Source organism: Homo sapiens, chromosome 7 (genome assembly GCF_000001405.40).
Source record: "Homo sapiens chromosome 7, GRCh38.p14 Primary Assembly".
NCBI classification, from domain to species: domain Eukaryota; kingdom Metazoa; phylum Chordata; class Mammalia; order Primates; family Hominidae; genus Homo; species Homo sapiens.
Window position 1 is genome coordinate 98,898,586 of NC_000007.14, and position 23,109 is coordinate 98,921,694.

A 23,109-nucleotide genomic window follows, 5' to 3' on the forward strand; every position below is an offset into this window, starting at 1 on the left:
AGTATCATTCCTTTGTATTTTCTTTTTTCCTTGTCTGTTGATATCCATTGCCCATCTGTATTTTGAGCCTGACATTTTCCTTGTTTCATGAGTCCTTATATATTAGGACTGTTGAACTTTTGTATATTGTAAGCATTTTCTGTTTATAAATATCTTTGAATAAAACTGCTGAGTAAATTGTACTTTGTGCTGTTCTTTTAAATAAGTGAAGTCATAGGCATTCATTTTAAAAATTTCTCAGATGATTTGAATCTCCAAGTTTGGACATAGTTTCCTGAACTTTTTACAAATGATTATGTAGAAAAATATGCAAACCTTTAGGCCGGGCACGGTAGCACACACCTGTAATCCCAGCACTTCGGGAGACCAAGGTGGGCAGATCACCTGAGGTCAGGAGTTTGAGACCAGCCTGGCCAACATGGCAAAACCGCATCTCTACTAAAAAACACAAAAATTAGCTGGACGTGGTGGTTCATGCCTGTAATCCCAGCTACTCAGGAGGCTGAGGCAGGAGAATGGCTTGAACCCAGGAGGTGGAGGCTGTAGTGAGCCAAGATCGCACCACTGCATTCCAGCCTGGTGACAAGAGCAAGACTCCATCTCAAAAAAAAAGAAAACCTTCATATTGAATTGTATTAAATGATAGTTCTGCATACTTTGTTTTCAACATAGTTTGGATCTTTCATCAGTTTGGATCTTTCATCACAAATATTTACAAAGAGGTGTCACTGTTTTCCGTTCTCTCTCTTTCAGTGGGTGATGCTCAGTGGGCACTGGTGGGGGCTATTTTAAATGCCACAATGGTAACCCGGGTCCTACCCATTTCTGTCTTCCAGCATTCCATCATTCCGAGGGGATCACTTTCTCTGAAAGTGTTGGCAGAATTGCCCATTATTGTTGTTTTAATGTATCAGGTATGTGTATTGCTCATTAGTCTCTTGGGTTTTGGGCTTCTTATAAGAAAATTGGCATCTGGGGCCAAAAGATGTGTATAATACACACATGCTAAATAATGTGATGATTCTTCGGTATGCCAGATTTTGTCGCCATAGCAGAGTGTCAATGTATGAAAATCTGGTATGTTTGCTTTTAGCTCTACAAACTGAACATCCACAATGTTGTTGCTGAGTTTGTGCCCTTGATCATGAACACCATTGCCATTCAGGTGTCTGCACAAGCGAGGTGAGGCGTCACTGTAGCCGGCTGCCACAGTGCCTGGATTCCAAGTAAAAATACACTTGCTGTTGTCATTCTTAAGACATGAAAATTATGAGTGATAAAATTTTGGTAAAATTATATGCACTGTTGACTTTCTGCACCTGTGTTTCAGGGATGACAGTTGTAGCTATTTTCGTTCTTAATTTGGAAAGATGAGATAATAGCTCGTATTCTGGTGCGTTGTAAATTAAAAATGTCGTCAGGCATTACCGTGCTCAATGACAGCTATGGCATGTCCAAGCCTTGCTCACCTTCAAGACTTTGTTCTTGCTGATTGTTCAGCTTGAGTGCTAGAATGTTCTTTACACCCTCAGTTCCCCATCAGCCTTCATCTCCAGATAGGCTGTGTTCATCCTTTGAAGCCTCTCGGTGAAGCCTTTTCTCAAACCTAAGGACGTTCCTCCTGAGACTGTCTTCATGCACCCTCCTGACTTGGAGCCCGTCTGGCTGTGTCATTTGAGGGCAGCATCTGAGGAGGAATCTTCTTTGGCCATCGCCACGGCCCTAGTTGGGGTCTTGCACTGAGCAGATGTTACTCGAATTCTTTCTGCGGATTGAGTAGAACGGCCTGGCACTGGCTTTGTGGGATTCACATTGTAACTGCTATGGAATGGGCTGGAGAACTGGTTGGTGTGTTTCCTTAAAACTTTTATGTTATTTGGAATTGCACGAAAGGTGTAGACACCTTTGCTATTGTTGCTGTGTTGTTTGGGTCTGTGTGGAAATCAATCTTTTGGGTTTAGTAATGGTTACAGGCTTTTAATTAATACTAACATCACTCATAATTGAGAGGTAATATTTTTGTTCTCTTCTTATTCAGGCAACATAAGCTTTACAACAAGGAGTTGTATGCTGACTTCATTGCTGCTCAGATTAAAACATTGTCATTTTTAGCTTACATTATCAGGATTTACCAGGTAAGGTCATTGACTTTTATGTCAGGTTTATTGAGATAGTTTACATACAATAAAATTCACCTTTTGTGGGTGTACAGTTCTAGGAATTGACAAATATTGGTAATCATTACTAACACATCAAAATACGGTACATTTCCATCAACCTCCAAAATTCCATTGTTATATATTTGTTGTCAGTTTCTTCCCACCACCTCCATTCCTTGGCATACACACCGATTTATTTGGTCCCCATAGTTTTGTCCTTTCTAGAATGTCATCTAAATGGAAATGTCCAGTGTCTAGTCTCTGCAACCTTTTGAGTCTGGCTTCTTTCACTTAGCAGTAATGTGGAGATAGGACCTTGTTTTACTGATTACTTTTTATTGCTGTGTAGTTGTCTTTGCTTGGCAGCCTTAACAAAAAATCCCATAGGCTAGGTTGCTTACACGGTAGCAATTGTCTCACAGTTCTGGAGGCTGGAAGTCTGAGATCAAGGTTCTGGTTTCTGGTGAGGGCTTTCTTCCTGCCTTGCAGACAGCTGCCTTCTGCTGTGTCCTCACAATGGCGAACAGAGAGGGAGAGTTCTCTCCTCCTCTTACACGGCCACCGTCCTGCCAGATAACGGCTGCAGCCGTATGACCTCACTGAACTTTCATCCCCTCCTGAAGACTCTGTGTCCAGATACAGTCACATATGGAGTTAGGGCTTTCACATGGGAATTTTAAGGGGATGCAGCTCAATCCACAGCAGTAGAATCCCATTGTGTGGATGTATCATGGTGTGTGTTTATCCATTCACCAACTGATGAGTATTCAGATTATTTCTAATGTTTTTGAAAACAGCTTTATTATTTACTTACTATTTTTTGAGATAGAATCTCACTCTGTTGCCCAGGGTGGAGTGCAGTGGCACAATCTCAACTCACTGTAGCCTCTGCCTCACTGGTTCAAGCTATTCTTGTGCCTCAGCCACTCGAGTAGCTAGGATTACAGGCATGCACTACCATGCCTGGCTAATATTTGTATTTTTTGTAGAGGTGAGGTTTGGCCATGTTGCCCAGGCTGGTCTTGAACCCCTGGCCTCAAGTGATCTGCCCACCTCAGCCTCCCATGGTGCTGGGATTACCGGCATGAGCCAGGCCTAAAAACAGCGTTATTGAGATATAGTTTATGTATCATAAAGTTCCCCCTCTTTAAGTGTACAATTAAGTGGTTTTTAGTTTAGCCACAGATTTGTACCATTACCACCATCCAATTTTAGAATAACGTCATCATCCCAAAAAGAAACCCTGTCCCATCAGCAGCCTTCCTTGACTATGTGCTCTTGGCAACCACGATTGTACTTTCTGTCTTTACGGATTTGCCTGTTTCATTTTTGGCCATTATTAATAAAGCAACTATGCACATTTACATGCAGATTTTTGTATGGACATATTTGGTTCATTGACTTTTGCTGCTGTTAGAAGTTGTGTGTTGTGGCAGCTAGGTGTGAGAGAGATTGGAATTTAAAAGGCGTTATCAGTAAAACTGATGAAGAAGTTCTGGGTGCTTTTCTGAGGAGACTGTATGGTGGATTTTTGTTTCATTTTTTCATGCATAGTTGTGTTCTTATTTAAATCATGAGAACTTGAAGGAAAAAATACCTTATCTCCTTTTAGTGTTTTTGAAAAGAATTCTTATATGATTGTTCTATAGTATGGAATAAATTCAGTACTGATCTATATCAATGGAATTGGATTATAATTTATGCTTTTTGTATGGCTTTTATTTCAGAAAAATAAAAATTAAAGAGCTGAATTGTTTAGAATAAAAACTACTTTTGAAAGCATTTGTAATCTTTTCCCCCTTAATTTTAATGCATATGATTAGATAATGATAGCTTACATGAAGAAAATGGAACATTTGGTGTAAAAAGTCAAATTAGGTACCCCTTGACATTTTAGTCAGCTTGCGTTATCTTGGTGAGTGGCCTTCTGCTGACACCGCAAAAGAAGATTGTGGTTAGAGCCTGTTCTGAGTTGGCTCAAGTTGACTCCACTGTTGTTCACAACTTACATTAATGGGATGACTAAGTAAACAAGTAATTACCTTAAAAAAAATCTTAGAAGCCTGGCATGGTGGCTCATGCCTATAATCCCAGCAGGTGGGAGGATTGCTTGAGCCCAGGAGTTGGAGGCCAGCTCGGGTAACATAGCAAGACCCCCATTTCTAAAAAAAAAAAAAAAAAAGAAAATTAGGCATGGTGGTATGCACCCTTAGTCCCAGCTACTGAGGTGGGAGGATGGCGTGAGCCCAGGAAGTCGAGGGTCACTTGAGTCAAGCTTAGTCTTAACGGTTTTTTTTTTGGAGACGAGTCTCACTCTTTCATGCTGGAGTGCAGTGGCTTGATCTTGCCTCACTGCAACCTTCTCCTCCCAGGTTCAAGTGATTGTTCTGCCTCAGCCTCCCAAGTAGCTGGGATTACAGGCATGTGCCATCACACCCAGCTAATTTTTGTATTTTTAGTAGAGATGGGGTTTCACCATGTTGGCCAGGCTAGTCTTGATCTCCTGACCTCATGTGACCCACCCACCTCGGCCTCCCAAAGGTCTTACTGAATTTTTAAGAAGCTGATAACATTTGAATTTTTCTTAACACTCTCCTATCCCTGTAACTGTGTCATCTCACTCTGTTCTTACAGGAGTTGGTGACTAAGTATTCTCAGCAGATGGTGAAAGGAATGCTCCAGTTACTTTCAAATTGTCCAGCAGAGACTGCACACCTCAGAAAGGAGCTTCTGATTGCTGCCAAACACATCCTCACCACAGAGCTGAGAAACCGTACGTCCAGCCTGTCTTGTCTTGAATGCTGATGCTAGTCCTGTGGCCATCTTTGGGGACTCGGCTGACATTCCATAGTTGTGCTGTGAGGTTTCCATGTATCCTTGCTTCCTTCATTGCTGTCTTGGGTTCATTCTTTCCCCTCTTTTCTCTCCCTCTCTGCCTCCCTGTATTAGTCTGTTTTCACGCTGCTGATAAAGACATACCCGAGACTGGGCAATTTACAAGAAAAAGAGGTTTTATGGACTTACAGTTCCACGTGGCTGGGGAGGCCTCACAGTCATGGCAGAAGGCAAGGACGAGCAAGTCACATCTTACGTGGATGGTGGCCCGCAAAGAGAGAGCTTGTGCAGGGAAACTCCCCTTTTTAAAACCATCAGATCTTAGCCGGGCACGGTTCTCGTGCCTCAGCCTCCCAAGTAGCAGAAATTACAGGCATCCACCACCACGCCCGGTTAATTTTTTTATTTTTAGTAGAGATGGGATTTCACCATGTTGGCCAGGCTGGTCTCGAACTCCTGACCTCAAGTGATGTGCCTGCCTCAGCCTTCCAAAGTGCTGGGACTACTGGTGTGAGCCACTGCACCCAACCTCTTTCCAGTACTCCTGCCATGAGTAAGAATTTTGGAGGTGTGTTGGGGACCTTTGTAGCACAAGGATTCTTGTAGATCTGCTGACAGATTCAGCTGGGTGTGGTGGCTCACGTCTGTAATCCCAGCACTTAGGGAGGCCGAGGCGAGCGGATCACGAGGTCAGGAGATCCTGACCATCCTGGCTGACACGGTGAAACACCGTCTCTACTAAAAATACAAAAAATTAGCCAGGCGTGGTGGCGGGCACCTGTAGTCCCAGCTGCTTGGGAGGCTGAGGCAGGAGAATGGTGTGAACCCAGGAAGGCAGAGTTTGCAGTGAGCCAAGATGGCGCCACTGTACTCCAGCCTGGGCGACAGAGCAAGACTCTGTCTCAAAAAAAAAAAAAAAAAAAAAAAAAATACTTTTCATGCTTACCAGGTCACCTCCTTCCCGTTACTGTACAAGCTAGCCCCTTCTGAAGGCATAAAGCTTGGTTTTAATCAGTGTTCACAGCTGCTAGCCAGAATTGCTGGCTTCCCAAGCTGCTGCCCTGCAGGGGTTGATCACATTAGACTTTCGGGGTTCAGCTTTTAGTCTTCCCTTTTTTAAAACTCCGTTTACTAGTTGGCTTGATTTTGTTTTTAACAAGATATTATAGGATGCTTTATTTTGAAGCCTTTTAGTAGTTCCTGAGACTTAAATAGACATTAGCATCACATCTCAAAGTTTTGGTGGAAAGAAACATGTAGAGAATCATGTTAAATGTTAACTGTGTGTTACAGTTAAAACGTCCACTTCCACCAACATTTTCTCTTCACCTTACTTTTTTGGCACCTGCAACGTTATCAAGTGGTAACTCATTTTCACTCATTCTGAAGAGCCAGTGGTTTGAGAAAACCTGCCATTTTAACAAGTTCAGCATTTTCCTAGAGATTCTGGTTCTGGGTCATGGAAAGGATCTGGAAAGTAGTGGTCACGCAATTTCATCTCCTATCACTCCTCCCTCTGCTGGAGGTGTTCCCACCTCCCCAGCCAGTTCTCCATGTCACGGCTGAGCCCTTTGCATCCCTCTGTGCCTCCTTCATCTTGGCCACTTCACTGCAGCCTGCCTGGCCTGTTGCATCCTCTGACCTCAGAGGGGCCTGCTTGTGGCTGTTTCCATTTGGCTGTTCCTCCGTGTGCTGCCTGGCTGTGCAGTTACCTAGAGATGTGCATCTTGCACATTTCAGTGTCTGCATTTCTTTTATGCCTTTGACCCTCAATAGCTACGAGCTGGTGGGAAATGTACTTTATTTGACTTACTGCAGCTGGCTTTATGTCAGGCTTATTCCAGAACCTGAACACCCTTTGGGATGATTGTATTAATAGAACTCCCCAGGGGAAGTGTGGACATGCTGTCGCTGCCCCATCTGCACATCCTCAGAAGCCTGAATTGTCCCTGAGTGGTGACCGGTTGTTTCTATAGAACCCTGGTTAGGTTCAGGCCTGCAAGGACGCAGAGAGTAAGTTTAGGGGTGGTTCCACCTGCAGGAATAGAGCAAGAGAGGAACCCCGGTGGGGATTCTGATGAGCATCATCCAGGGAATGCAGAACCGTAACCTGGGACTCATGCCTGTGAGAACATTGTAAAAACGCCTGGACCTTTGTAATTTACATAGAGAAACATCGTTAGGTCTTCTCAATATGCTTCAGGGTAGTAAAGGGGCATTTAGGAGATCCTGTTCCCTTGTCCAAACTGGTTGGGAGGGTGGTGACAATGTTTAAGGATGGTGGGATGTGCCCACAGTTAAGTATCAGAGGTGGGATCTCTGCCAGGGGACACCAAGCTGATTTATTCTTAATTTGATCTCTGACCCTGAACGTGACCCTGACTGCATCTTTGACAGCAGGTGGCTGGTGTGGCCCAGCAGAGCTGCTATGTTAGACTGAAATAGCACTTGTGCCTTTCTGGTCTCCTCTCTGTCCCTTTTCAGGTCTGGATTGCATATCAGACTGGCGGGCTGGCTACTTCGAAAGCACTGTAAAGTAATTTAATGTGTGTAATTGGTTTTGTTAGTGATCTGTGCAATGGATGTTTGTCTTCTAGAGTTCATTCCTTGCATGGACAAGCTGTTTGATGAATCCATACTAATTGGCTCAGGATATACTGCCAGAGAGACTCTAAGGTATGAGATTAAACCAGTGATATCTGGTTGGTTAAATGCCAGGAGCATCAGTTACTGGCACTTCATGTTACAAGTGTTTCAATGAACACCGGCTGTTGAGCCTTGACACACCTGTTAGGTTAGCAAGTGCAGGATTTTTGTTTTTGTTTTATTTATTTATTTATTTATTTATTTATTTATTTATTTATTTATTTTGAGGCCGAGTCTCACTCTGTCACCCGGGCTGGAGTATAGCAGTGCAATCTTGGCTCACTGCAACTCTGCCTCCTGGGTTCAAGCAATTCTCCCTGCCTCAGCTGCCCGAGTAGCTGGGATTACAGGTGCCTACCACCATGCCTGGCTAATTTTTGTATTTTTAGTAGAGATGGGGTTTCGCCATGTTGGCCAGGCTGGTCTTGAACTCCTGACCTCAGGTGATCTGCCTGCCTCAGCCTCCCACAGTGCTGGGATTACAGGCGTGAGGTACTGTGCCCAGCCAAGAATTGCAGGATTTTTGGAAAGCCCTTAGATTACTTTTTGTGCTCTAGCTTAAAGGAAGAAATCAGAGTAATCATCTTGATTTAATTTTAGGTAAAACTTTATCTGACTTTATTATTGTTTTTTGCTTTTTGTATAATGCATCTTTTTTTGTTAAAAAGAAATTTTTTTTTATAACCTACCAGGAAGATAGAAGGGAAGAAAACCTTCTGGTCCTGCACAGGGAGATGGAGTAATGTTGCTAATATCTTAATGTATGTCCGTATAATCTTTGTTTCTTACACTTAAAAAAAAAAAAAAAGTAGTTGTGGCCAGGCACGGTGGCTCACGCCTGTAATCCCAGCACTTTGGGAGGCCGAGGCGGGCAGATCACCTGAGGTCGGGAGTTTGAGACCAGCCTGACCAACATGAAGAAACCCCTTCTCTACTAAAAATACAAAATTAGCCAGGCGTGGTGGCGCGTGCCTGTAATCCCAACTAGTCGGGAGGCTGAGGCAGGGGAATCGCTTGAACCCAGGAGGTAGAGGTTGCAGTGAGCTGAGATCATGCCATTGCAATCCAGCCTGGGCAATAAGAGTGAAACTCTGTCTCAAAAAAAAAAAAGTAGTGATAATGGTTACTATTTCTAAAGCAGAAAATTAACATTTAATCATCTTTACATTATAAAATGAATCAATGTTTGTCATATTTTACTTCCAATAAGGAAGGCGTGATGGATCTTTTAAAAAATGTTTAGGTTCCTTTGAATATGATGCAGTTTTCTCACTGTTTTCTATAGACAATGTTATAAAATATTAAGACATTTTTTGTAACTTGGGGTTGAACTTGCCTAGAATTGGACGTTAGATTATGTTACTCCTGCTCGAAGCCCTCCAGTGGCTTTCTGTAGTTCTTAGAGAAAACCCAAACTCTTGACCATAGCATTTGAGTCTCTGCGTGATTTGGCTCTGTCCACCTGTTCTACATCTTGTGTTGGTCCTTCCTCTCTGACTTGTTGCAGCCACACTGGCCCCTGCAGCTCCCCTCTCCAATCTGCTGCAGCACGCCGCCCCCTACAGCCCCCATCCCTGACCTGCTTCAGCCATGCTGGCCCCTACAGCTCCCCTCCCTGACCTGCTTCAGCCATGCTGGCCCCTATAGCTCCCCTCTCTGACCTGCTGTAGCCATGCTGGCCCCTACAGCTGCCCTCCCTGATGTGCTGCAGCCACACTGGCCCCTATAGCTTCTTGGCTACTTCAGGCAGTTACCACCTCTGGGCCTTTATCTTTCCTGTTTCTTCCATCTGGAAATTTCCCTGGATTTTTGCCTTATGGCCCCTTTTTGTCCTTAAGATCTCAACTTCAGTGCCACCTCAAAGGAACTGTCCCTGGAACCCTGTTTAAGAATAGCTTGCCCCACTCATCTTTCTCATGTGCCCTTTTCACATCCCCGCTAGCACTTACTAACTTGTGTAGCTTATTTCTTTACTTGTGTGTTCTCTGCTGTAAGTAAGCTTCCTGAGGACTGGGGCTCTACTTGGGTCACTGGGGTGTCCCTGGCAGGCCCAGGATCTGGCACATGACAGGTGTCCTTGTGTTTAGTGAGGGAAAAAACTAGTAGCCTGAAAATTCTTACTGTGTCTCTGTAAAGTGGTCATCATATATAAAGATTGATTGACCCGTCCTATTTATTTTTGAGCAACAAAACCCATTCAGTGCATGATCAAGCTGGTAATATTCCTCCTTGGCTTAGCTGTATGTGCCAGCATCTATTAGTAACTTTATGACGTGCACAAAGTTAACCTTTTAGCTTGGAAGGTAAAGATGGAGGTATCAGTACAAAACTTGAGCCCTCTTCTGTCATGTATCTGGGAGAGAGTAATGTGGTGAAAATGGGCCATGTAAGTGTGCCGACCCAGGGGTGGTGTTCCTGGGGCAGATGGTGATATCCTTGGTGGCCTGCTGCAGCAGGCATGGCCACGTGGGAATGAGCACTAGTCGAGGTCTCTGCCCGCAGGCCCCTCGCCTACAGCACGCTGGCCGACCTCGTGCACCATGTCCGCCAGCACCTGCCCCTCAGCGACCTCTCCCTCGCCGTCCAGCTCTTCGCCAAGAACATCGACGATGAGTCCCTGCCCAGCAGCATCCAGACCATGTCCTGCAAGCTCCTGCTGAACCTGGTGGACTGCATCCGTTCCAAGAGCGAGCAGGAGAGTGGCAATGGGAGAGACGTCCTGATGCGGATGCTGGAGGTACCAGCTCTTCTGAGAGTATCATCCATCCTGCACTCTATCCTGTTTGTGGCTAAATTTTTTTTTTTTTTTTTTTTTTGAGACAGATCCTTGTTCTGTTGCCTAGGCTGAAGTGCAGTGGCGTGATCTCAGCTCACTGCAACCTCTGCCTCCTGGGTTCAAGTGATTCTCATGCCTCAGCCTCCCAGGTAGCTGGGATTATAGGCATGCACCATCATGCCCAACTAACATTTTGTATTTTAGTAGAGACAGGGTTTTCCCATGTTGACCAGGCTGGTCTCGAACTCCTGGCCTCAAGTGATCCTCCTGCCTCAGCCTCCCAAAGTGCTGGGATTACAGGCGTGAGCCACCATGCCGGACTTGTGGCCAAACTTGAACCAGTGCTGTAGGGGCGGCTTGATCGCTAGGCTTGATCCCAGGAGTTAGACCACCTAGGTTCAGACCCAGGCTCCCCAGATGCTTCACTTCTGTGCACCAGTTTTTTCATCTTTTCACTTGGGGTGATGATATCTGCCTCATAGGATCGCTGTGGGAGTTAAATCAGGCAGCGCTTGAAAGCTCTTAGCACACTTCCTGGCAAGTAATTAGGAGAGTTATTTTCTGGGGGCATAGTACCCAAGTGCTAGACTGGCTGTGGACCTCTCTGGGGAGACACCCAGAGTGTGAGGGATGTGATTCCTGAGCCCCAGGGGTGGTGGCGGGGCCCTGTTGGGACGAGGCCTGTAGTCCTGGATGAAATCCAGGCCCTGCTTGTCAGGCCAGTCACTCAGCCTTCCTGAGCCAGACTCTGCACATGCAAAACGGATATGGTATTGGGAGTAAATCGGCACCTTTTCCTTTACACGTGGCACAAAGGAGGTGCCCAGATGTTACCAGCCTTCCACCAGTTTTGTTGGGTTGGTGCGAAAGTAACTGCAGTTTCATCAGAAGTAATGGCAAAAACTGCAATTCCTTTGACACCAACCTCATAGAAAAGCAGCATGACTTGAGCAGCTGGTGTCAGTCCCATCTTATTTTACTGTGATCTGAGCAGTATTTGGCCTGTTGAAGAAGAATAATTCTGTCTTCCCTCTTGAATTTCTCTTCCCGTTAGGTTTTCGTTCTCAAATTCCACACAATTGCTCGGTACCAGCTCTCTGCCATTTTTAAGAAGTGTAAGCCTCAGTCAGAACTTGGAGCCGTGGAAGCAGCTCTGCCTGGGGTGCCCACTGCCCCTGCAGCTCCTGGCCCTGCTCCCTCCCCAGCCCCTGTCCCTGCCCCACCTCCACCCCCGCCCCCACCCCCACCTGCCACCCCTGTGACCCCGGCCCCCGTGCCTCCCTTCGAGAAGCAAGGAGAAAAGGACAAGGAAGACAAGCAGACATTCCAAGTCACAGACTGTCGAAGTTTGGTCAAAACCTTGGTGTGTGGTGTCAAGACAATCACGTGGGGCATAACATCATGCAAAGCACCTGGTGGTAATTCTGCTCTTCAGTTATGTAGACAAACAATAGTTTTCATAAAGTGAGTTTTATTCAAGTTAACTTAATATACTTTCTCTTTTCCAGAAGCTCAGTTCATTCCCAACAAGCAGTTACAACCCAAAGAGACACAGATTTACATCAAACTTGTGAAATATGCAATGCAAGCTTTAGATATTTATCAGGTAAGGAAGTGCCCTCCAGCCAGGCTTTCGCATATGGAAAGTACCTCTTAGTATTAGAGGTCATAGTGGTGGGGTGGCAGTGAGAGCTGTTAGTATTTGGATGGTCCACAGTATTTGTATACCCAGATGTGTTTTGTTCCACAACATAGCACTGCGTTTATGTGGGAATTCTTATTTATAAGAGTCTGTGCATTTTTGAGGGGCAGATAGTGTAAACGGAATGCAATAAAAATATAAGACTTAAGTTTAATAATTTTTTTCATGGTCTGAACACCTAGAGGTTTTTTTTTTTTAATTCTTTGCCAAAATTAAGGTGAGAAAGGAGAATTTAAAAGGTTTTGGAGGGGGACATTTGTTATCTAATTTAAGTGCTCTATTTTAAGTATGCAGCTGATCTGGTTACATAATGGAACATATTCAGAGAGGTTCAGTTTTAATGCCTGTGGGCGGCTTTTTTCCCCTGTATTAGGTCCAGATAGCAGGAAATGGACAGACATACATCCGTGTGGCCAACTGCCAGACTGTGAGAATGAAAGAGGAGAAGGAGGTATTGGAGCATTTCGCTGGTGTGTTCACAATGATGAACCCCTTAACGTTCAAAGAAATCTTCCAAACTACGGTCCCTTATATGGTGGAGAGAATCTCAAAAAATTATGCTCTTCAGGTATAAAACTCCTTTTTTTATGTTGTTTGAACATTACAATTCTTTGTTTATGTCTTAAATACTTTTTCATTTATTTCAAGGATTTTAAAAATAATGTAGCCAAGGATGTGCTTATAGCTCAAAATTTAAAGAAATATTAGGCCATAATGTCTTGAAACAATTCTTAAAAGATTCAAATGCTTTGGATCAGTTCCTTTCGTTAGTAGAAATAAATATGTGGGCCAGGTGCAATGGCTCATGCCTGTAATCCCAGCACTTTAGGAGGCCGGGGATTGCTTGAGCCCAGGAGTTTGAGATCAGCCTGGGCAACAATGGTGAAACCCATCTCTACAAAAAATACAAAAATTAGCTGGGTGTGGTGGCACACACCTGTAGTCTTAGTTACTTGGGAGGTTGAGGCAGGAGGATTGTTTGAGCCCAGGAGGTTGAGGCTGCAGTGAGCTGAGATCGCACCGCTGCACTCCAGCCTGGGTGACAGAGCGAGACCCCCATCTCAAAATCTCAAAAAAAAAAAAAAATGCATTAAATGTATTTGATGATGAGGATGAAATAACAGATTACATCATTGAAGTGAACTGCCCTGCTCAGTGCTCAGTAAACCCGTTTCATTTTTTTCCTTTGGTGGATAATTAAATTTCTTGGAATGTGTGATACAGGCTTGGTTTTATGTTTTTTGAAAGCTTACTACTTTGTCTTAAAACTGCTTTGGGGAAGGGATTAATTTTTCACATGTGTTTCTTGTATTGACAGATTGTTGCCAATTCCTTCTTGGCAAATCCTACTACCTCTGCTCTGTTTGCTACGATTCTGGTGGAATATCTCCTTGATCGCCTGCCAGAAATGGGCTCCAACGTGGAGCTCTCCAACCTGTACCTCAAGCTGTTCAAGCTGGTCTTTGGCTCTGTCTCCCTCTTTGCAGCTGAAAATGAACAAATGCTGAAGGTAAAGTCCATTTAATCTAAGTAGTGCTTCTGTTCAGGGTTTTTTATTGTTGTTAGAGACAGGGCCTCACGGTGGTGTCCAGGCTGGTCAGCGTTCTGGACTCAAGCAATCCACCTGCCTTGATCTCCCCAGTTTTTGGGACTATAGGCACTCACCACTGTGAGTGTGCCTGGCTTTTTTTTTTTTTAATTCTTATTTTCACTTTTAAACAAACTATAGTGACTCTTTATATTTATAAAGTACTCTTCGAAGTAGTAAATATTTGCAACAAATAAGGGCCAAGTGTGAAAATCATTCCGTGTATGTCTAAGCAGTAACTAATTTGTCTATCTAGTAACTTAAAATGAAAAATCCAGAACTCTTACGGTAAGCAAGTGTGGTGGTATTAGTATTGACACCACTGATTTTCTTTTTTAAACCTATTTTCTTTTTTTGGATTACACAAATAGGAGCAGATGGTTCTATTTTTAAAAATTTCAGTGATGCAAACGAACTTATTAGAAGGAAAAAAATGTCTTCACCTACCTCTCAAATATGGTGTGACAGTGCCGATTGTTACCAAGCAGTGGTCTCACTCCTGGATGCACACTGAAGCCAATACAATGGTACCAGCTTTTCAGGGAAAAAAAAACATCTTTATTGCAAGGTTGTTTGACAAGGAGACAGGAGACTCCGTTCTCCCAGAGCTGGGGTCTTGTGGTGGGTTTTATAGGAAGAGTAACTGTGAGGGAGACGGAAAAATGCAGTGAGGCATGATTTGATTGAGCTCTGCAGTGAGGCAGTGCTGGGTCTTTTGCTCTTAAGTTCCTATTGCAACAAAACAGGGCTCCCTTGTTCTTAATTTGGTCCTCGTTGCTTGGTCCAGGTACTTGGGTTCCATCTGTGGTTAACTTTTCCTTCCAGCCCGCCCCAGAGTCACTAATCCCGTGTGCCTTGTTCACCTGCGCATGTTTGCTACTTGCAGTCTTGGGGTCTGTTGCAACTGAAATCAACTCAGACGAAGCTGAACCAGTTTGAACTGGTTCTGCGGTTACAGTTACATCAACAGTTGTCCACTTCACTCAGGTTTTGTTTTTGCTTTTTTTGTTTTTTTGGGTTTTTTTTTTGAGTCTGTCACCCAGGCTGGAGTGCAGTGGAGTGATCTTGGCTCACTGCAACCTCTGCCTCCCGGGTCAAGCAATTCTCCTGCCTCAGCTTCGCCAGTAACTGGGATTATAGGTGCATGCCACCACGTTTGGCTAATTTTTGTATTTTTAGTGGAGATGGGGTTTCACCATGTTGGCCAAGCTGGTCTCAAACTCCTGACCTCAGGTGATCGTCTGCCTTGGCCTCTCAAAGTGCTGGGATTACAGGTGTGAGCCACTGCACCTGGCCTTCACTCAGGTTTTGTGTTTTCTCTGTGTTAACAGTCTTGGCAATATGTAAATGACACATTTCAGGACTATTTCTTTCTTTTTCCCCTTTAAATAAAAAATTCTGATCAGTCTGTGCTTCTTTATTAAGAACATCTTAGAGAAGATGTCCCATCATACATTTTTATGGATGACTAATCCTATGTAATTGGATCTCATCTGTTATTTGAGTCTAGCAAATGGGTAAAACCCATCCATAGTTATATTACTAAAAGCAGCAGGTGGTAGAATAAAAACCTTATAAAAATGCACTCCCTCTTGTGGCAAAATATCTTAATTTCTATAGAAAATTGAATATGTCAAAAGAGATGCTTTCTTGGGAAAATCTGAAGATGTAAATAAGATGTGTGCATTTGGAGTAATTGCACAGATGGTGACACAGAGCTCCAGTAACCTGTGCTTTCCTTGTTTTCTTTTCACAGTTCTATAGTAATTACTTATCAACAACCTTAACTTTTGTGTTAATATAGGAGAGTACTAGTCAGGCGTGGTAGCTTACACCTATAATCTTATAATTCTAGCACTTCCGGAGGCTGAGGCAGGAGGATTGCTTGAGCCCAAGAGTTCAAGACCAGCCTGGGCAGCATAGTGAGACCCTATCTCTACAAAATAATTTAAAAAAAAATTAGCTGGATGTGGTGGTGTGCACCTGTAGTCCCAGCTACTCAGGAAGCCGAAGAGAGAGGATCGTTTGAATGAGCCAGGAGGTTGAGGCTGCAGTGCACTTCAGCTTAGGTGACCGAGTGAGATCCTGTCTCCAAAACAGAAGGGAAAATACTTATTTTTAAATTTAAAGATATAAAATAATTATAATCTGTGTCCTCATATAATTCATTATCCTCAAATAATTCATTTTTTTGCCAGCATTAGATATGACTATGCAGAACAACAGCAAAAAAGCCCAGAATAAAACCTATCGGGACAAATCGAATGTTGGAATGTGGCTGGGCATGGTGGCTCATGCCTGTAATCTCAGCTACTCAGGAGGCTGAGACAGGAGAATTGCTTGAACCTGGGAGGCGGAGGTCACAGTGAGCCAAGATTGTGCCACTGACTATACTCCAGCCTGGGAGACAGAGTGAGACCCTGTCTCAAAAAAAAAAAAAAAAAAAAAAAAAAAAAGACAGAAAAAGAATGTTGGAATGTTTAAGAAAAGTATTCAAGGAACAATTTTCATAGAACTTTTTGTCCAGAATAATACATACAGTTTTGTAAAATAAATAAATAAATATATTCTGCCATATACCATAATAAATTTGGAACCATATCAGTGACTATACCAAGAATTTATAATTATTTAAATACACATGCAAAAAATTTTCATGTTAAACTTAGCATGTGACATATCAAAACCAGGATTTGACAAAACAAAATAAAAAGTTAATATGGTTTAAAATTTTGATTAAAGCTAGTATGATCTAGTAGAGTGGTTTTTTTAAAAGAAAGATTTATACAAAAATATTTTCCAATTAAGTCTTCCAAAACGCTATAGTCTTCAATGTCTTTTGAGATTTTTTTACACTTTGCATACATCTTATTTGATTGGTAGTACAATTTCAGTTCCTGTAGGTTACTTTTTTTTTTGAGACCGAATTTCACTCTTGTTGTCCAGGCTGGAGTGTGATGGTGCCATCTCGGCTCACTGCAACCTCTGCCTCCTGGGCTCAAGCAATTCTCTTGCCTCAGCCTCCCTAATAGCTGGGATTACCAGCGTGTGCCACCACAGCTGGCTAATTTTGTATTTTTAGTAGAGACGGGGTTTCACCATGTTGGCCAGGCTGATCTCGTACTCCTAATCTGAGGTAATCTGCCTGCCTTGGCCTCCCAAAGTGCTGGGATTACAGGCCGGAGCCACCTTGCCTGGCCCCTGTAGGTTATTTTTGCATTTCATTTGTTACAGATACCAACATATACTTTAAGATAAACTATTTTGAGTTAAATAAAGATTGGAATATGCTTGTTTGGTTTTTTCCCTTTGGAGTAAACACATCAGAATTGCCTTCCATTGCTGTCGGATTACAGTGACACTTTAGAGTCTGGAGGGTATAGACCCTCCTCATTTAGATGCCACTAATCTGCGTCTTCTCCACCCCGCAGCCTCACTTGCACAAGATTGTGAACAGCTCTATGGAGCTCGCGCAGACTGCCAAGGAACCCTACAACTACTTCTTGCTGCTACGGGCGCTGTTTCGCTCTATTGGTGGAGGTAGCCACGATCTCTTGTATCAGGAGTTCTTGCCTCTCCTTCCAAACCTCCTGCAAGGTCAGAGCAGTGACTTTGGTTGCCTTTTAGTCTTGTGTGTCATGTAGTCATGTGTCTAGCCATCCTGATTGCTGGGTTTCATCCTCTGTAACTGGTGAGTGTCATGGTTGGTGGGATGGGATGTGGCACATCCGCCGCCCCCCTGCCCCCCTCCCCTGGCCCTGGTCATCTACTGGGACTTTGAAGGGCGCTGCCTTCAGGGATGGGCCCTTCCCCTCCCTCCTCAGCATTGAATGGGATTTAGGTGTTAGTTGTCCTGGCTAGGGCTTGGTTGCATTTTTATAGTGTTTGGTAAGCAAGTCTAGAAAATGATTTCTAGTGGTTTAGTAAGATCAGAGATCCCTAGACTGAAAGAGAATCAGAACAAAAAAAGAAAAAGCAGGTGACAAAGTTGAGACAGAGTTGACTTACAGTTAGTTTATATTTTCATTTAGCTTCTGATTTACATAGCCAGAATCCTGTAATTCCTGTATAATTAGGAATGCTCTCAAGGTACATAGTTAACAGGGATCTGGGTTCATTGAATGCTTTTGGGGTGTGTGCTGATTGGAAACACTGTCCCAGGAATTCATTACACTTCTTGGTATGGTGAGCTCTTGGCAAGGGATTGACCCTTCTCATGTATTTCCTTAACTTCCTTAGAGAAGTGACATAGGCTACCCAGGAGGCAGCAGGGACATCCTTTACTGTTGACTGAAATGGTGATGAATCTGCCATGGGAGTGGACCATAACCTGGCTCCATGTCCGGATTTAACCCTGTCTCTAGTTAATCCCTGCTGGAGCCCCTGTTCACACAGTCTGATTTCCTGGGCTCTCAGCTGTCCCCCAAGGGGTGTTCCTCCCTCCCGGTCTCATTCAAGCTGACCCTGTGCTGGGAACTCAGCCCCTTGCCCTCCTCTATCCTCCTCATCCTTTGGATTTGGGACCTGGTTCTGCTGCCCCGTGAGGCCATCCCTGATGGCTTCTCTTCTCCCTGAGTTCTCGTCCTTCATCCTGCCTTCCTGTGCCGTGCAGGACGTGCCTTTTCTTGGGTCCACTGCCACACGCCTTTCTCTTTCTAGCCAGCCTCAGCTCTCAGTGGCACTGTCTCAGGAATGGGGTCAGTAAATCCTTAACTGTCCTCGTGAGTGGTGGGGAGGGGGACTTTATCAGAAAGAGGCTCCTCGCCATTTATAATACAAAAAAATTAGTTTTAAAAACTGTTTAGAGAATAGACCTCAACTGTGGTTTACTAAAGTCTGATAGTACAACATAATTAAAAAATAATTTATGATATTAAAAGGATATAGTACTATGATTATAATTTAAATTATAATTTATAACAGTTACATACGGCCTACTGTTACCACTCAGAAGGGGTCATGAGTGCAATTATTGGACAGATGTAACAGGGTGGAGTCTAAGGGCACAGAGGTCTCCCTGCAGTTGTGCTGATGTGCACAAGAGAAGGAGGGGCAGTTCTTTTGTGTGTTTCACCTGGGCCCGAGTCTGGGGAGCGTCTTCCCTCTCTGATAGCTGCACCCCCTTCCCTAGGGCTGAACATGCTTCAGAGTGGCCTGCACAAGCAGCACATGAAGGACCTCTTTGTGGAGCTGTGTCTCACCGTCCCTGTGCGGCTGAGCTCGCTTTTGCCGTACCTGCCCATGCTTATGGATCCCTTGGTGTCTGCACTCAATGGGTCTCAGACATTGGTCAGCCAAGGCCTCAGGACGCTGGAGCTGTGTGTGGACAACCTGCAGCCCGACTTCCTCTACGACCACATCCAGCCGGTGCGCGCAGAGCTCATGCAGGTAGGATTTTAGTGAGGTTGTTAGCTGGCTGCTTCCCTGGAAGCAGTGGGCCGTCATTGGGTTCTCTGTACTCAAGAGTGGGCTCTGCAAGATGGACCAGTGCAGCTCTCTGTTTAATTCATCTTCGTGAGTCTTCTGGTGGATTGAAATATGTAAAGAAGGCCGGGCACGGTGTCTCCTGACTGTGATCCCAGCACTTTGGGAGGCCGAGGAGGGTGGATCACTTGAGCCCAGGAGTTGGAGACCAGCCTGGGCAACATGGTGAAAACCCATCTCTACAAAAAATACAAAAATTAGCCAAGCATGGTGGCCGACACCTGTAATCCCAGCTACTTGAGGCTGAGGCAGGGGGATCACCTGAGCCCAGGGAGGTTGAGGCTGCAGCGAGGCATGATCACACTGCTGTACTCCAGCCTGGGTGACAAAATCAGACCCTGTCTCAAAAAAAAAAAAAAGAGGAAATGTGTAAAGAAATACTGTTGGTACTGAATGGACATTATTTTGCAGCCTTGCCTGTTTTTCAGAGAGCCTTCACGAGGGTTATATTCTTTTTTTTTTTTTTTTTTTTTGTGATAGAGTCTTGCTCTGTCTCCCAGGCTGGAGTGCAGAGGCGCGATCTCGGCTCACTGCAACCTCCGCCTCCCGGGTTCAAGCAATTCTTCTGTCTCAGCCTCCTGAGTAGCTGGGACTACAGACGCGTACCACCATGCCTGGCTAATTTTTGTATTTTAGTAGAGATGGGGTTTCACCATATTGGCCAGGCTGGTCTCAAACTCCTGACCTCATGATCCGCCCACCTCAGCCTCCCAAAGTGCTGGGATTACAGCCGCGAGTCACCGTGCCTGGCGAGGGTTATATTCTTAATAAGTTGATGACTGATTAAGGCAGGTGTTATGGTTACTATACGGCCACCATTGCTTCCAGTGAGAACCTCTCTATCCAGGAAAGATCTTCAGTTGCATAGTAAAGGGATATTGACTCTAAAGGAAAGATATAGGTGTTTGCTCCACCCTACCCAAAGGGAAAAAGAAGCAGATAATAAAGGAGGTTGTTTTGAAAACACTTGTATATTTGTTTATTAAAGTTCATATGTTGGCCAGGCACTGTGGCTCACGCCTGTAATCCCAGCACTATGGGAGGCTGAGACAGGCAGATCACTTGAGTCCTGGAGTTTGAAACCAGCCTGGCCAACATGGCGAAACCCTGTCTCTACTAAAAATACAAAAATTAGCCAGGCATGGTAGCAAGCCCCCTGTAATCCCAGCTACTCAGGAGGCTGAGCAGGAGAATCGCTTAAACTGTCTCAAAAAAAAAAAAAAAAGAAAAAAAGGTTGATATGTTAAAGTTAGTTTTTCCTACATATTTTGCTGTTGTTACTGATTTGTGATCTGGTTGGTAATTGTTGGAGGGTTAGGGTGTGTGTCTCAAAGCATCTGCCCCTTTAATAGCAGGTAGTTGGCCCCAGATAGGAGTCAGAGTATGAGCTTTAGATGATGGAGGCTCAGTTACTCCTAGGAGTCTCTGTTCAAATTAGATTGGAGACTGCAGCTAGGACTGAGTTTGAGGTTGGGATATTTTCCCTCCCTGTCCTGAGATTTAGATCTTGGGCTTCATCTAGGCTGGAAGAAGATGGCGTAGGGGCCAGGTGTGGTGGCTCACACCTGTAATCCCAGCACTTTGGGAGGCCGAGGCAGGAGCATTGCTTGAGCCTAGGAGTTCCAGATCAGCCTAGGCAACATGGTGAAATCCCATCTCTACTAAAAATACAGAAAATTAGCTGGATGTGGTGGTACATGCCTGTAGTCCCAGCTACTCACGAGTTTGAGGTGGAAGAATCCGTTGAACTCAAGAGGTTGAGGCTACAGTGAGACATGATTGAACCACTGCACTGCAAGCTGAGTGACAGAACAAGACCCTGTTTCAAAAAAAACCAAAAGATAAAGATGGCATAGGCCGTGGGTCAGAGTCCCTGCTGGTCACCTGGAGGATTGATGAGAGCCTGCCTTTAGAACAGTAGTATTGGTTCTACAAGGCAAACCCTGCGGCTGACCCAGGGTGCATGAGCAGCTTGTGGGAGAGGAGGAGGAGGTGGTTCTTAGGCCTTCTTACCATCCATGAGGCAGATAGCCCAAAAGAGACACACACAGGCTCAAGGCCACAGGAACCACCACAGGCCTCCAGATGAATGGCACAGGGTCAGCCTCTCCCAGTCCCATCAACCAGCTAAGGCCATGCGAGCACAGCAGGAGGGCATGCTTGTTCCCAGGGCTGCCCCCTCCTGAGGACACCCAAGGGTTGGGTGGGCCTGGTGGAGGGTAGATGAGGTGAGAGGTCTTAGACTACTTTTCTGACAATTATTAAGAAGCCTGTTTGAATCTACGGGAACGTAAGAGAAATTGGAATTTTGCTTGGTTTAGAGAAAAGTACCAAGATTTTATGTTAAGGAGTATTGCTAGACATGAATATTTGGCATTGTTAAATGGAAGGTGATTTAAGAAAATAGATTTATGGCCGGGTGCGGTGGCTCACGCCTGTAATCCCAGCACTTTGGGAGGCTGAGGCGGGTGGATCACTGGAGGTGAGGAGTTCAAGACCAGCCTGGCCAACAAGGTGAAACCCTATCTGCACTAAAAAAAATTAGCTGGGCATGGTGGTGCATGCCTGTAATCTTAGCTGCTCAGGAGGCTGAGGTGGGAGGATTGCTTGCTTGGACCTGGGAAGTAGTGGTTGCAGTGAGCCGAGATTGCACCACTGCACTCCAGCCTGGTTGACAGAGCGAGACTCCGTCTCCAAAAAAAAAAAAAAGAAAAGAAAATAGACTTACATAGTGACCTGTAGTAATTTTTAGGACCTCTGATAATTCAGACAAAAAATGGGGGGAAATTTACAGTTTTTTGCGACAGTTGAGTGCGGATATTTCTTAAATGCGGAGTCCACATTAACTTAATTCTTTTCCATAGTCCTGTAATGGAGGTGCCTTCGTGATCTGTGTTTTTCCTTTGCCACCCTTTCTAATGTAAGATTTGAAGTGTATGAGACAATTTATGTCATGTTTGTAAGTTATAAAGCCTAATAAATAGACTTAAAAACCTGAGAAGTTGCCATCCCACCCAGGACTGGAACCTCACTGCTAAGTCGCATCCACCTGCGTGCTCCTCCCCACCCATTTTTTTTTTTGAGATGAAGTTTCGCTCTTGTTGCCCAGGCTGGAGTGCAGTGGCGCAATCTTGGCTCACCAAAACCTCCGCCTCCTGGGTTCAAGTGATTCTTCTGCCTCAGCCTCCCCAGTAGCTGGGATTACAGGCATGTGCCACCACGCCCAGCTAATTTTGTGTTTTTAGTAGATGGGGTTACTCCATGTTGGTCAGGCTGGTCTCGAACTACCGACTTCAGGTGATCCGCCCACCTCAGCCTCCCAAAGTGCTGGGATTACAGGCGTGAGCAGCATGTGCCTAAACAAGATACTGCTTAGTTTTCTTGTTTTGGAGCTCTGCAGCACTTATAATATGCTGCTATTTATATTCCAGGAGCATGGATGAACATTTATGTTTACACAGGTACTTTCTTTATAAAGACATAAAACTTCCTTGGAAGAACATGCAAGACTAATAACATTGGTTTCTCCAAAGAAGGGAGAACGGTGTGTTTGGGTAACAGAGGTGGGAGGAAGGATTGTTGCCAAGCAGTGTTCCATCACTTTGAGGGTTTTTTTTGACATGGAGTCTCGCCCTTGTCACCCGGGCTGGAGTGCAGTGGTGTGATCTCAGCTCACTACAACCTTCGCCTTCTGGGTTCAAGTGATTCTCCCACCTCAGCATCCCAAATAGCTGGGATTACAACAGCCTGCCACCACGCCTGGCTAATTTTTGTATATTTAGTAGAGGTGGGGTTTTGCCCTGTTGACCAGGCTGGTCTTGAACTCCTGACGTCAGGTGATCTACCCGCCTTAGCCTCCCAAAGTTCTGGGATTACAGGCATGAGCCACTACGCCTGGCCTCCCTTTTGAGTTTTGATC

The 23,109-nt window shown here is 44.6% G+C and overlaps 1 protein-coding gene across 3 annotated transcripts in view; it reads left to right on the forward strand.

The window, feature by feature from the left end:
* Positions 1–23,109, forward strand: part of TRRAP (transformation/transcription domain associated protein) — a 134,710-nt gene that overhangs the window by 20,054 nt on the left and 91,547 nt on the right. For all 3 annotated transcript variants that reach the window (NM_001375524.1, NM_001244580.2, NM_003496.4), the window contains exons 9-20: positions 837–914; positions 1,094–1,182; positions 2,039–2,135; positions 4,794–4,932; positions 7,592–7,670; positions 10,143–10,377; positions 11,471–11,834; positions 11,925–12,022; positions 12,492–12,686; positions 13,437–13,628; positions 17,138–17,303; positions 18,838–19,094. In NM_001375524.1, coding sequence (NP_001362453.1) covers positions 837–914; positions 1,094–1,182; positions 2,039–2,135; positions 4,794–4,932; positions 7,592–7,670; positions 10,143–10,377; positions 11,471–11,834; positions 11,925–12,022; positions 12,492–12,686; positions 13,437–13,628; positions 17,138–17,303; positions 18,838–19,094 — 1,989 coding nt within the window. The remainder of the gene's footprint in view (positions 1–836; positions 915–1,093; positions 1,183–2,038; positions 2,136–4,793; positions 4,933–7,591; positions 7,671–10,142; positions 10,378–11,470; positions 11,835–11,924; positions 12,023–12,491; positions 12,687–13,436; positions 13,629–17,137; positions 17,304–18,837; positions 19,095–23,109) is intronic.